The sequence below is a fragment of the Homo sapiens genome, chromosome 7, assembly GCF_000001405.40.
Source record: "Homo sapiens chromosome 7, GRCh38.p14 Primary Assembly".
Classification (NCBI taxonomy): domain Eukaryota; kingdom Metazoa; phylum Chordata; class Mammalia; order Primates; family Hominidae; genus Homo; species Homo sapiens.
In genome coordinates this window covers 99,597,619-99,611,390 of record NC_000007.14, presented here as the reverse complement: position 1 = coordinate 99,611,390, position 13,772 = coordinate 99,597,619, and the positions used below count along the sequence as shown (strand labels likewise).

The 13,772-nt window shown below is 49.8% G+C and overlaps 1 protein-coding gene across 21 annotated transcripts; it reads right to left on the bottom strand.

The window, feature by feature from the left end:
- Window positions 1-345: 345 nt before the first annotated feature.
- On the bottom strand, window positions 346-13,333 carry TMEM225B (transmembrane protein 225B). Of its 21 annotated transcripts, none has more exons than XM_011515697.2 (7): window positions 13,236-13,333; window positions 11,106-11,186; window positions 8,711-8,814; window positions 6,795-7,005; window positions 4,497-4,643; window positions 3,581-3,718; window positions 346-998 (listed from the first exon to the last, which is right to left on the bottom strand). In XM_011515697.2, exons 3-7 carry the CDS (start codon window positions 8,750-8,752, stop codon window positions 826-828), a joined length of 711 nt encoding a protein of 236 aa, XP_011513999.1. In that variant the 5' UTR covers window positions 8,753-8,814; window positions 11,106-11,186; window positions 13,236-13,333; the 3' UTR covers window positions 346-825. The 21 variants fall into 21 exon arrangements, with proteins under 21 accessions (XP_011513999.1, XP_047275644.1, XP_011513998.1 ...); XM_047419688.1 differs by having other exon boundaries at window positions 11,106-11,183; XM_011515696.3 differs by having other exon boundaries at window positions 13,244-13,333.
- Between the last annotated feature and the right edge of the window lie 439 nt (window positions 13,334-13,772).

The following is a 13,772-nucleotide window of genomic DNA, read 5'->3' as shown; positions in this document are numbered from 1 at the left end:
TCCTCTTCTGCTGGTCCTGCCTGTTGCTCCCTGGCAATGTACTTTTTTTTTTTTTGAGACGGAGTTTTGCTCTTGTTTCCCAGGCTGGAGTGCAATGGCGTGATCTCGGCTCACTGCAACCTCCACCTCCTGGGTTCAAGCAGTTCTCCTGCCTCAGCCTCCCGAGTAGCTGGGATTGCAGGCATGCACCACTACACCCGGCTAATTTTGTATTTTTAGTAGAGACGGGGTTTCTCCATGTTGATAAAGCTGGTCTTGAACTCCTGACCTCAGGTGATCCACCCGCCTCGGCCTCCCAAAGTGCTGGGATTATAGGCACGAGCCACCACGCCCAGCCCGGCAATGTACTTTTATACTTCCTTTAATAAATCTGCCTTTCTTTATCTACAACCGTCTTGGTAAATTCTTTTACCCCTGTGCCACCAGCCCAAATAGTTGTCATTCCCCCGAGTATATTCTGTATTCTGTACGGTTTCTGTTTCACAAAATCCCATTTCACTTGGTTATCTTGTAATATTCCTCCCTCCCCTCCTGCCCTGCGGACTTGGTTTTTGAGATATGGATGAACAAAGTAGCCCTTCTTTTTATTGAAAATACCTGCAAAAACGTCACTTAGGAAGCTCAGAAGAGTTGAAAGGACTTTTAGCAAATTTCACATACAAGCAAGATAGAATCACTGTGAGTATGGGGAGGTGGAGAGTTGATCTGACACGCAAGAAGCTCCTCAAAGGCACAGATACTGGCAGAGAGGGTGGGGAGGACTACAAACAGCTACATGTGTACACTCACATGGCTTGAAGAAGGGTAAAGAAGCCATGTCCTGGGCTAGATGACTGTTTCTGCTGTCACCTGTGTCTCCTTTTGTACTGAGCTCGGTTCTCCTCCCAAACTCTCCAGATTGTCCAGGTACAGGCTCCCGTGGTCCTCCTCCATACTCTGGGAAGTGGACAACAAGTGCCAGCAAGGGCAAACCATTTCTTGAATGAGGCAGATGGTACCTAGGGAACAGCCAACGTTTGGGTCAGGTCAGAGAAAGTCCAGAGCTCCACGCCCTAGAGGTCAGGTCCCTCTAGCTCCAGAGCTGCCCTCCCTCATTCTGCCCCCCAATCTAGAGTATTACAGAGAGAGATTACAGACAGGATGCGTCAAAGGACAAGAAGTACAAATACATGTATAAAATCACAGACCCATGGTCAGCACCTAGAAGACATCTCAGCAATCATGTAGCCCATTAATGGGTGAAAAAAAAAACTAAGGTTTAGAGAAAGGAAGTTCCAACACAAAACCCAGGCCCAACCCAAGACCTTCAGTGAAGTAAAAGATAGACAACTGACACGAATAAGAACAAACGAGGGATGGACGTGGTAGTTCACGCCTGTAATTCCAGTGCTTTGGGAAGCCGAGACAGGAGGGTCTTTTGAGCCCAGGAGTTCGAGACTCATCATGGGCGACATAGCAAGACCTCGTGTTTACCAAAAAAAAATTAAAATTAGCCAGGCATGATGGCATGAGCCTGAAGCCCCACTGACTTGGGAGGGTGAGGCAGGAAGATCACTTGAGCCCAGGAGGTCAAGGGTGCAGTGAGCTATGATCACACCACTGCCCTCCAGCCTGGGCGACAGAGCAAGACCTTGTCCCTTTAAAAAAAAGAACAAGTGGCCGGGCGCGGTGGCTCACACCTGTAATCCCAGCACTTTGGGAGGCCGAGGTGGGTGGATCACAAGGTCAGGAGTTCGAGACCAGCCTGGCCAACATGGTGAAACCCCATCTCTACTAAAAATATAAAAATTAGCCAGGCATGGTGGTGCATGCCTGTAGTCCCAGCTACTTGGGAGGCTGAGGCAGAATTGCTTGAACCCAGGAGACGGAGGTTGCAGTGAGCCGAGATCATGCCACTGCACTCCAGCCTGGGTGACAGAGCAAGACTCCATCTCGGGAACAAAAAGAGACAACAAATGGAGATATCTTGAGTAAATGATCAATGCTGTGTTAAGATGAAGACTAAGATAAAAGACATCTTCTATTTTCAGCATTATAGCAGACTACTCTACCACTAAAAGCCACAAAAATTTTAAATAAAATGTGAGAGAACTTCAAAGAATTCATGGAAATCATGGAAAAATGGAATTAAAAGGTTAAAATATAAAATATTGTAACTCTATTTGGTGAAGGGGAAATTAAGAAATAAAAGCTTAAATATGTGGTTTTTTGTTTGTTTGTTTTTTTGAGATGGAGTCCCGCTGTTGCCCAGGCTGGAGTGCAGTGGTGAGATCTCAGCTCACCGCAACCTCCACCTCCTGGGTTCAAGTGATTATCCTGCTTCAGCCTACTGAGTAGCTGGGATTACAGGCACGCACCACCATACCCAGCTAATTTTTGTATTTTTAGTAGAGATGGGTTTTCGCCATGTTGGCCAGGCTGGTCTTGAACTCCTAACCTCAGGTGGTCCACCTGCCTTGGCCTCCCGAAGTGCTGAGATGACAGGTGTGAGCCAGTGCACCTGGCCATATATACACATATATGTGTGTGTGTATATATATATATATATATACGTGCACACACACACATATATGTATGTCTATATACATATATACACACATACATATATATGTGCATATATAAATATGTGTGTGTGTGTGTGTGTGTGTGTGTGTGTATATATATATATATATATTTTTTTTTAACTAGCTGGCCATGGTGGCACATGCCTGTAGTTCCAGTGATTCAAGAGGCTGAGGCAGGAGGATCGCTTGAGCCCCAGAGTTGGAGGCTGCAGTTGTACCACTGCACTCCAACCTGGGCAACAAAGCAAGACCCTATCTCTTAAAAAAAAAAAAAAAAAAGGTAGAGACAGAAATAGATAGCCTAAGGAACCAGGATGGTGGAAGGGAGACTATAAAAATTTGAAAGAGTTTAGTTCTAAGTCAAGAAGGATAAGAACAGGAAGGCCAAGGATGGGGTTGAAGCTCCAGAGCAGTGCTGTCAGGTAGAACGTTCTGCAGAGAAGGAAATTTCTCTGTCTGCACTGTCCAATATGACAGTGTCCAATAGCCACTGGACATATGTGGTTATTGAACATCGGTGATGTGGCTAGTATGGCTGAGGAACTGAATTCATAACTTTTTATTTTATTTTAGAGATGGAGTTTTGCTCTGTCACCCAGGCTGGAGTGCAGTGATGTGATCTCGGCTCACTGCAACCTCTGCCTCCTGGGTTCAAGCGATTCTCCTGCCTCAACCTCCCGAGTAGCTGGGATTGCAGACATGTGCCATCACGCCCAGCTAATTTTTGTATTTTTAGTAGAGATGGGGTTTCACCATGTTGGCCAGGCTGGTCTCAAACTCCTGGCCTCAAGTGATCCACCCATCTCGGCCTCCCGAAGCACTGGAATTACAGGTGTGAACCACCACATCTGGCCAATAACTATTTTAATTAACGAAAGTTAAATAGCCACGTCTAACTGGCAGCTGCGGTTTGGAACAGTGCAATTCTAGAGAATCCAAAGGGAGGGCCTCCACAAGACAGGTTCCTAAATCCAGACCGAGGACAAGAAGCAGGGCACTGTTCCCTGGACACTCACCAGCCACTATGAACAGAAAGATGCCGAAGCCCAGCACGTAGTAAGGCCACAGCACGGAGAACTGCAGGGGGCCGAGCTTCATCCTCAGAGCCTTGATCTCCAGGGCATGCAGCACCAAAGCCAGGAAGGCACAGGCCCCTGGAGGGTCACAGGGAGACACCCTCGGTCTCCTCCCATGCTACCCGCCTTCCCTCCAAACTTCACCCCCTGTGGCTCCTGCCTGGAGGCTCCTTCATCCTTGCCCCCTCTCTGAAACAAAACTCCTACCCAGATGCCTGTCCCTCCCTCCTTTCTGACTCATCTTCAAAGCCCATGTGCTTTACCTTCCAGGGAACCATCATCAGAACTCCCTTTCCTAGCACCCTCTGCATCTGCCCTTAGCTCACCTCTGCACCTTAGCAGAGGGTGCAACACTTTGGATTAAATGCAATCCCATTTTCCTACTGCTCTACCTCCACCATTTGCCTAGGAGCCTCTCAGGGTGGAGCCTGGGTCACCCTTTATAAATGTCAAAAGGGGCCAGGTGCAGTGGTTCATGCCTGTAATCTCAGCAATTGGGAGGCTGAGGCAGGAGGACCGCTTGACACCAGGAGTTCAAGGCCAGCCTGGGCAACATAGCGAGATCCCCATCTCTACCAAAAAAAAAAATGTTTAAATTAGCCAGGAATGGTGGCACATGCCTAGAGTCCCATCTACTTGGGAGGCTGAGGTGGGAGGATCACTTTAGCCTGGGAGGTTAAGGCTGCAGTGAGCTATGATAGCACCACTGCACTCCAGCCTGGGTAACAGAGTGAGACCCTGTCCCTAAAAAGAAAAATTATGCCTCTTTTGACATCACAGAGACTGAGCACCCCTCTTTCTCTGGACTCCTCCCCAGGCCCTAGCGAAGGTCAGGGATCACCTAGCTGTTCCACACCTGTGAAGAAGCTGATGCAGGCTAACACAAAGTTTTGCTTCCAGGTCCTCGGGAAGAACTCGGATGCAAAGGGCATCATGATGAAGGTGGTGACGAAAGCCAAGAAAACTGCAGAGAGCAGGAAAACCCGGCCGAGGATGATGTAAACTGCAGGGGAGGGAGAAGTGGGGCTGAAGCTGGGAACCCTGACCCGGAAAGGTCAGAGTCCCTCAGAGCCTGGGCAGGGCTGGCCCCCGGAGCCTCCACCACCCTTAGATCCCAAAGCATGGCCTTGGGACCAAGGTTGTGACCATGCCACTTTGGCCCCAAGAATGCTTTGGCCCCACAATTTGATTCCCAATGGCATAGAAATATAGGAAAAAAAATTAAATTGACAATGTCAGACACTGAAATCACCAGTTCTTAATAAACATATTTTTTCTTTTTTTGAAACAGGGTCTCCCTCTATCGCCCCAGCTGGAGTGTGGTGGTGCAATCTCAGCTCACTGTAACTTCGACTTCACAGGCTCAAGCAATCCTCCTGCCTCAGCCTCCAGAGTAGCTGGGACCACAGGCATGTACCACCACACCTGGCTAATTTTTTTATTTTTATGTTTTGTAGAAACAGGGTCTTGCTCTGTCGCCCAAGCTAGAGTGCAGTGGCACCATCATAGCTCACTGCAGCCTCAACCTCCTGGGCTCCAGCGATCCTCCCATTTTGGCCTCTCAACGCGCTGGGATGACAGGCGTGAGCCACCGTGCCTGGCCTTAACAAATGTTATTATGGGAATTTGGTTGTACCAAACCATGTATCATCCACTAGGGGAAAATGGTGGTTTTAAAAAGCAACACAAAATCAAACTCTTGTGATAAAATTTGTTGCACATGCAAATGTGAAGAATCACACCTGTATTGGTTACCCTGAAGTAATTCGCCTGTGGAAAATCAAAACTTTGTGAGGTCAAAATGTTCTGAACGCTGAGGGAATCCCCACATCTTTATTTAATTTTCCTAGTTAATAGGAGTGAGACTGGGTGCAATGGTTCACGCCTGTAATCTCAACACTTTGGGAGGCTGACGTGGGAGGATTGCCTGAGGCCAGGAGTTGGAGACCAGCCTGGGCCACATAGTAAGACCCCATCTCTACAAGAAATTTTAAAAAGTTGGGCACGGTGGGGCACACCTGTAGTCCCCGCTACTTGGGAGGCTGAGGCAGGAGGATCACTTGAGCTGAGGAGATGGAGGCTGCAGTGAGCTATGATCACACCAGCCTGGGCAACAGAGCGAGATCCTGTTTTTACAAAACCTAAAATTAAAAAATTAGCTGGGAGCTGTGGTGCGCACCTGTAGTCCCAACTACTCAGGAGGCTAAGGTGGGAGGATCGCTTGAACTCAAGAGTTGGAGGCTGCAGTGAGCTGTGATCACACCAGCCTGGGTGACAAAGCGAGATCCTGTTTTTTACAAAACATAAAATTAAAAAATTAGCTGGGAGCTATGGTGAGCACAGGTAGTCCCAACTACTCAGAAGGCTGAGGCGGGAGGATCGCTTGAACTCAGGAGTTGGAGGCTGCAGTGAGCCATGATCACGCCACTGCACTTCAGCCTGGGCAACAGAGTGAGTCCCCATCTGTAAAAGCAACAACAATAACAGAAGTAGTGAAATAGACCAAAATTAGCAGAGCCAGAGTCTGATAACAGGGTGATTTGTTCTCTGACTGCTGGCATGATGCAGACCCATGTGAAAATGAGTTTGCATACCCTCCTGAGCTGGCAGAGGTGGGCAGCTGGCAGTGGGATAAGGAGTCAAAGTTGCTGTTGAAGCCCCAGATATCCCAGAGTCTACCCTTGGGTTAACCAAGCCTGGTTAATTTTTTGTGTTTTGTTGTTGTTGTTGTTGTTGTTGTTGTTGTTGTTGTTTTGAGACAGGGCCTCACTCTCACTCCCAGGCTGGAATGCAGTGGCATGATCACAGCTCACTGCAGCCTCGAACTTCTGGGCTCAAGCAGGAGCCCTCCAACCTCAGCCTTTTGAGTAGCTGGGACTACAGGCACATGCCACCATGCTCAGCTAATTTTCTCATTTTTGTAGCAACAGGGTTTGGCTATGTTGCCCAGGCTGGTCTTGAACTCCTGGCCTCAAGCAATCCTCTCGCTTCGGCCTCCCAGAGTGCTGGGATTACAAGTGCAAGCCACCGCATCCAGCCCTGAGCTAATTAGATTTTGTCCTCTCTGCTCCCACCCTGTTCTTTCACCCCCCACCTCTGTCCCAACACTGGCCCCATCTCCCTCTCTCTCCTCCCCGCCTCCATCCCTCCTTACTGGATAAGGGTCGAGGCTTCCAGCATTTGGCATTGAAGCAGTTCTCAAATAGGCCACTGAAAAAGACTTCGTGGGACTCCTCGTTTGTCAGTCGCACCCAGAAGGGAAAGATGGAGACCACCAGTATAATCAGGTAGCCTAGGGAGGTTAAGGCTGGGACTATGGCCCAGGAGAATCCCTTCATGTCCTTGTCCTCTAACGTCAGCATCACCTGTGTAAGAGAAAAGTGATCGTGGAGGTGGGACACCGACCCAAATTCTCCTGCAGCACAGAGGGAAGGAGACAGTGGCTGGGGAAATGTCAGTGCTGTGTGTGGCGCATATGTGAAACTCAGTAAATGATGATTTCTTTGCTTAACTTTACAGCCTATACACCTCTGCAGCAGACCAAAAAAAAAATGCATAAAATGCTTTCTGTCGCTAAATCACTGGGTGATCTTGGGCATGTCAGGTTCCCTCTCTGAGCCCTCTTCCTCTGGTAAACTGAGGAGGTTGAACTGGGCCATTCACAAGGCCTCCTCAGCTTTAAAGTTCTCAACTTTCAGCTGGGTGCGGTGGTTCACACCTGCAATCCCACTACTTTAGGAGGCTGAGACAGGCGGATCGCTTGAGTCCAGAAGTTCAAGACCAGCCTGGGCAACATGGCGAAACCCCGTCTCTACCAAAAATTAGCCAGGCATGGTGTTGCACACCTGTAGTCCCAGCTACTCAGAAGCCTGAGGTGAGAGGATCGCCTAAGCCCAGGAAGGTCAAGGCTGCAGTGAACCATGATCACACCACTGCCCTCCAGCCTGGGTGACAGAGCAAGACCTTGTCTCAAAAAAAAACAAAAAAAAAAATTAAATAATTTAAAAAAAAGAAAAAAACTAAAGTTCTAAGCTTTCAATTCTTTTTTTTTTTTTTTAAGATGGAGTCTCGCTGTTGTCAGCCCAGGCTGGAGTGCAATGGCACCATCTCAGCTCACTGCAACCTCTGCCTCCCAGGTTCCAGCAATACTCCTGCCTCAGCCTCCTGAGTAGCTGAGATTACAGGCGCCCGCCACCACGCCCAGCTAATTTTTGTATTTTTAGTAGAGACAGCGTTTCACCATGTTGGCCAGGCTGGTCTCGAACTCCTGACCTCAGGTGATCCACCCGCCTCAGCCTCCCAAGGTGCTGGGACTGCAGGTGTGAGCCACCATGCCTGGCCCTAAGCTTTCAATTCTATCAACAGCCACCTCTACTGGCCATCAGGACAACTCCAGCCTATTTTGCAGTCAACTGTCTTCCTTTTGGGATTTCAGACTGAGAACCAAGGGGAGATATTCAGACCAGAGCCTTAGGTGCCCTTATTCAGTGACTGGCCTTCTGACCACAGGAACTGTGGGTTTAGGTGGGGAGAGGTCCATGTGCACAGGAGGAGCCCCTGCTGAGAAATGAGCAGGTCATGTACAAACAGGAAGTTTTACAAAGAGTTCTGGTGTTTCATAGAGCCTCCTGCAGCCTGGGCCCTCAGTGAAGGATCCCTATCACGTGGAGTTCCTCCCCCAAACCCATCTTCTCTTTCATCACCATCTGTCACTAAGATGTCTCCTTTTGTGGCCAGTCACTGGTGGCTCATGCCTATAATCCCAGCATTTTGGAAGGCTGTGGTGGGAGGATCGCATGAACTCAGGAGTTTTGAGACCAGCCTAGGCAACACAGTCAGACCAGTCTCCACAAGAAATTGTTAAAAATTAGCCAGGCTGGGGGCATGTGCCTGTCTGTAGTTCCCAGCTACTTGGGAGGATGAGGCAGGAGGAACTCTTGAGCCCAGGAGTTAGAGACTGCAGTGAGCTATGATCATGCCGCCGTACTCCAGCCTGGGCAACAAAGCAAGACCTTGTCTCTGAAAGAATAAAAATTTTCAAAAGATGTCATCTTTTGAATGAGTAGTTACACCGTGGTGGGTAAGTGCTGGCTGGTCTTGTCTCAGCTTCATCACTTCCTAGCTGTGTGATCTTGGGGAAGTTGCTCAGAGTCTCAGGACCTTGCTTTCCCCATCTGGAAAAGGAAGGATATAACACCTGCCTAAGGATAAGGAAGGATATATTATAACACCTGCCCAATGATAAGAATACAACACCTGCCACTGAGAGGACCAAATGAAATAACGCATACCAAAGTGTCCAACACAGTGCTGAGCACTCAGGTGCTTGGTTAAAGTTGGGAGGGCAGGGATGGAGGGCAGACTTCTAAAATTCAGATATCCCTGTGGGAGAAGGGGCTGGAGGCCACACCCAACTTCAGGACAAATTGTTTCAACGAATCTGCTTTCCCCTCTGTCTGTGCTGAGCCTGGCAGCTCTGAGGAATGAGAGTTATCCAGCAATGGGAAGGAAGGAAGCAGGGACGGTGATTGGAGCTGCAGGGAGGGTGGGCCTGGCCAGAGGCCTCCAGGTGGCACTGTGATGACCCTCGCTACCTGGCAGTGCAGAAAGGGGGCATCAGGTGAAAGGAAGATGTGACAAGGGAGGTGCACCCCAAGATGACAGTCTTTCTTTCCAAGTCCTACCCAAAGCCAGACCTGGGGACCCTTGCCTGTGCCAGGCTGGGCTTGGCAGCATCACGGTTTTCAAGCTGTGCCTGGGCAGTAGAGAGCACAAGGCCCTCGAAGTGAGCATGCTTTCCTCCCCTGCTCCCACACCCTGTGCAAACCTTGCCCAGTGCAGACACTGGGGCCTCTACCCAATCCCCATGCAGACCCTCACTGCAGCCAGGGAAGGGGGCGTCTTTGCCCATGCAGACACTTGCTGCAGCCAGGGAAGGGGGCGTCTCTGAGAGCTACCAATGGCTATGGCTGAACAAGCCTAATGGCAGAGGGCAGAGGTGTGGCTCCCTTCCTGTACCCCCCACACCCAAGTACCCTGGTTATAAACAGGTAAACACATGTTCATCTTCGATGCTGTCAGAGTGACTTGAAAATGTTTGTACTTTCTCTTCCTTTCTGACATTCTCTAGTTTCTCTTCTTCCCACTTGAAAAATTGAATTATTCCCTTCTTTCCTTATTATATTTTGTTTTTAGATACAGGGTCTCACTCTGTCACCCAGGCTAAACCTCCTGGGCACAAGTGATCCTCCCACCTCAGCCTCCTGAGTAGCTGGGACTACAGGTGCGTGCCACCACGCCCAGCTAATTTTTTAATTTTTTGTAGAGACAGGGGTCTAACTATGTTGCCCAGGGTGTCTTAAACTCCTGAGCTTAAGTGATCTTCCTGCCTTGGCCTCCCAAAGAGTTGGGATTACAGGCTTGAACCACCACACCCAGCCCTTCCCTCTCTTTAAATGTCCCCTTTCCATCTCCCATCCACTCTCCAGGTCATACAAGTCACCCCAACCTCAGGGCTTCCACTTCCTTCTATCTAAAATGATGAAGTCTGTTGGACCAGAGGGCATTGAGGCATCCTTCTAGTATTAGAACTCAATGGGAAGGAGTCATGGCTGCATCTTGATCCTGTCCTCTGTATAGATGGGAGTACACTGGGCATTCTCATTTGATAGGGGGCACCTCTTCCTGTCTACCCCATCTCCACCTGTATGTGACTAGAAGTGATCTCTGTCTCCTTTATTTTCTACCTTTTTTTCTCTCCTTCACCCAAACCCTAGCCTTGAGCTCATGCTGGTTCTTCCCTCTCCCCAACCCCACTTCCATCTCATCAGCCTTCCTCATCTTCTCAGTTTTCCCTTCATAAAGTTCCCCAACCTTCCAACCTTCCTGTCCCCACGCCTGCCACGTCTCCCTCCACACCTGGAACATCACCGTCATCCCCAGGCTCCTCTGGCCTCTGTACCTGGTGATTTGGTTTGGCTGTGTCCCCACCCAAATCTCACCTTGCATTGTAATAATCCCCATGTGTCAAGAGCAGGGCCAGGTGGAGATAATTGAATCACGGGGGCAGTTTCCCCCATACGGTTCTCGTGGTAGTGAATAAGTCTCACAAGATCTGATGGTTTTATAAGTGGAAGTTCCCCTGCTCAAGCTCTCTCCTGCCAGCCACCATGAAAGATGTGACTCTGCTCTTCATTCGCCTTCAGCCATGATTGTGAGGCCTCTGCAGCCATGTGGTGCGAGTCAATTAAACCTATTTCCTTTATAAGTTACCCAGTCTTGGGTATGTCTTTATTAGCAGCATGAGAACAGACTAATACACCTGGGTTCCTTCCTGGGGGCGGGGGTGCCTGTTCTGCTCCCCAGATTTTCCAAACCCCACTCCCCTGAAAAGTGCAGCTTGGTGCTGTCCACTCCACGCAGCCCTCCCAGCCACTCCCTCAGCAAAAATTCACTGTGCACTTACAGGTCGCCCCACTCCCAATGTAGGCCAATGGTGGGGATTCAGAGATGAAAAAAGGCAGGAACTCAGAGGCTCTTGGAACTGCTAGGGAGAGAGACACAGAAACACATCATGTGATGCAGTGCTTTTGTCTTCACAGCCCGGGGTTACTTTGGGGCCAGGTATACCCCAGGGCACTACCCCTTATCTGTCCCATTCCCACTGCCCCCTCCACTCTCCAGTGATGAGGACCTTGTCCTCCTTTCCCTGGGCACCAGTCCAGGTCCCTCCCTGAAGCAGCCCTTAGTGCCAGCACTGGACAAGGTTACATCTTCGGATACACAACTTCAGATCCGCACGGATATAGGCCAGACTGAAAGGTCATAGATATTTGAATATAAGAGGGGATTGGTAGATCCTTTTGTACAGAAGCAGAGATGGAGAGCTGGAGAGAGGGAATGACTGGTGGAGGATTCCACAGCCCATCAGTGCTGGCACAGGGACCAGAATACTGCATCACTGCCAGGACAGTCTCACCAGCCACCAATGGCCGGCAGTTCAATTCAGTGATTCCCAAATCTGGAATTCTGTGGATCCAGAGAATGCTTTCTTATAGGCATGTGCATGTGTGAGAAAGAGAGAGAGAATGGGGGAATATACGACTGCCAACTTTTTATTTTGCCAAGAGCATTAAAAACAAAGCAACTTATCTACTGTCACTGGTTTGGTTTTTATTCAAATTTTTGTTGTTGTTCTTTTTTGAGACAGGGTCTTGTGTCACCCAGGCTGGAGTGCAGTGGTGCATTCATGCCTCCTGGGCACAAGCGATCCTCCTGCCTCAGCCTCCCGAGTAGCTGGGACTACAGGTGTATGCCATTACACCTGGCTAATTTTTTTTTTGAGATGGGGTCTTGCTATGTTGCCCAGGCAACCCCTGGGCTCAAGTGATCCTCCCACCTTTACCTCCCAAAGTGCTGAAATTACAGGCATGAGGCCCCACGTCTGGCCAAATTATTATTTTTTAAAGGACCCATGGGCCGGGTGCGGTGGCTCACGCCTGTAATCCCAGCACTTTGGGAGGCCGAGGCAGGTGGATCACGAGATCAGGAGATCGAGACCATCCTAGCTAACACGGTGAAACCCCGTCTCTACTAAAAATACAAAAAAAAAAAAAAAAAAAAAAATTAGCCAGGCGTGGTGGGGGCGCCTGTAGTCCCAGCTACTCAGGAGGCTGAGGCAGGAGAATGGCGTGAACCCGGGAGGCGGAGCTTGCAGTGAGGCGAGATCGTGCCACTGCACTCCAGCCTGGGCGACACAGCCACAGCGAGACTCCGTCTCAAAAAACAGAAAGGACCCATAACACCAGGAGGTAAGAAAAGCTGTGTACCCCGTGGTGGTGCCTGGACCAGCGTCTGAGGACCACTGGCTTGGCAGGAGGTTCCTGGACCCTAGGCCCCCTTCAGCGCCTGAGCTGCAGCCCCGCACCTCCCAGGCCCTGGCACTTAACAGGAAAGTCGGCAGCTGCTCTGGGGATGAAGGAAGTGGGCGACCTGAAGGGCATCCTGGTTTGGAATGGGAAAGAGACCTTCCCTTCCCACTGTTTCCTCCGGTCATTTGTGGCAACTTGGACTGCACATTGACCCAGGGTAGGGTCAGAGGTTCCTTCCCGTTGACAACCGTCCTCGGCCCTTTCCCCTGAATGCCAGGACTCCGCCCTTCTGTGGCCCCAAAGCCATAGGGATATTTTCAAGACCCCAAGCTGGGCCCTAACCAGGCCATCCGCCCCCAGCCCCTGCCCCGGGCGTCCCACAGCCAGTTAGGCGATGTTCGGCCTTGGGTGGGTAGGGGGACTTCCCCACATCCTCTCCCAACCTGTGGGGCCACCTTGCTCTCCCCCATACTGGTCTCCCCTCTACCCTTCCCTCCACCTGCGGCACCGTCGTAGGCGGTTTCGCGTCCCAGAGCTGGGCTGCCCTCCAGGCGGGTCACGGTGGGACCCTCGCCCTCCACTCCAGGCTCCACCGCGCTCCTGGAGCTTCCGTTGGCCCCAGAGGCCCCGGCGGGGGGTTGCCCCGACCCGGGGGAGGAGCCCACTGAGCCTGGGCCTCTGAGCGGAGCTCCAGCTCCAGCTCTGCGGAGGAGACGCGGGCTCACCTCCCTACCTGCCGCCCCGGCCACCGCAAACCTGGCGGGTGGAGGGTGGGGAAACCAGGCCCTGGCGTCTGCCCACAGTACCGGCTTCGCTCACGGGTGTGTGGGGGCGGAGGAACAGAGAGCGGGAGGGATCTGAATTCAAATCCTAGCTCTGCCATTACCAGCGTGGGGACTTTGAATAAATTTCCTGTGTCTCCTTCCTGGGTCCTGGGCTTCTAATCTGTAAAATGGGAATAATAATAGTATTAATAATATGGTGTTAATAGTATTAACACTATTATATTAATGATATACTATTAACACTATTATATTAGTAATATAGTGTTGAGTGTTAACACTTATATTAATAATATAGCGTTAATAGCATTAACACTATTGTATTAATAATATAGGGTTACTATTAACACTGCTATATTAATAATACATGATTAACACTATTAATCATATAATAGTGTTAACACTATAATATTAACAATATAATATAGTGTTAACACTATTATAGTGTTAACACATATTATATTAATAACACTATTATAT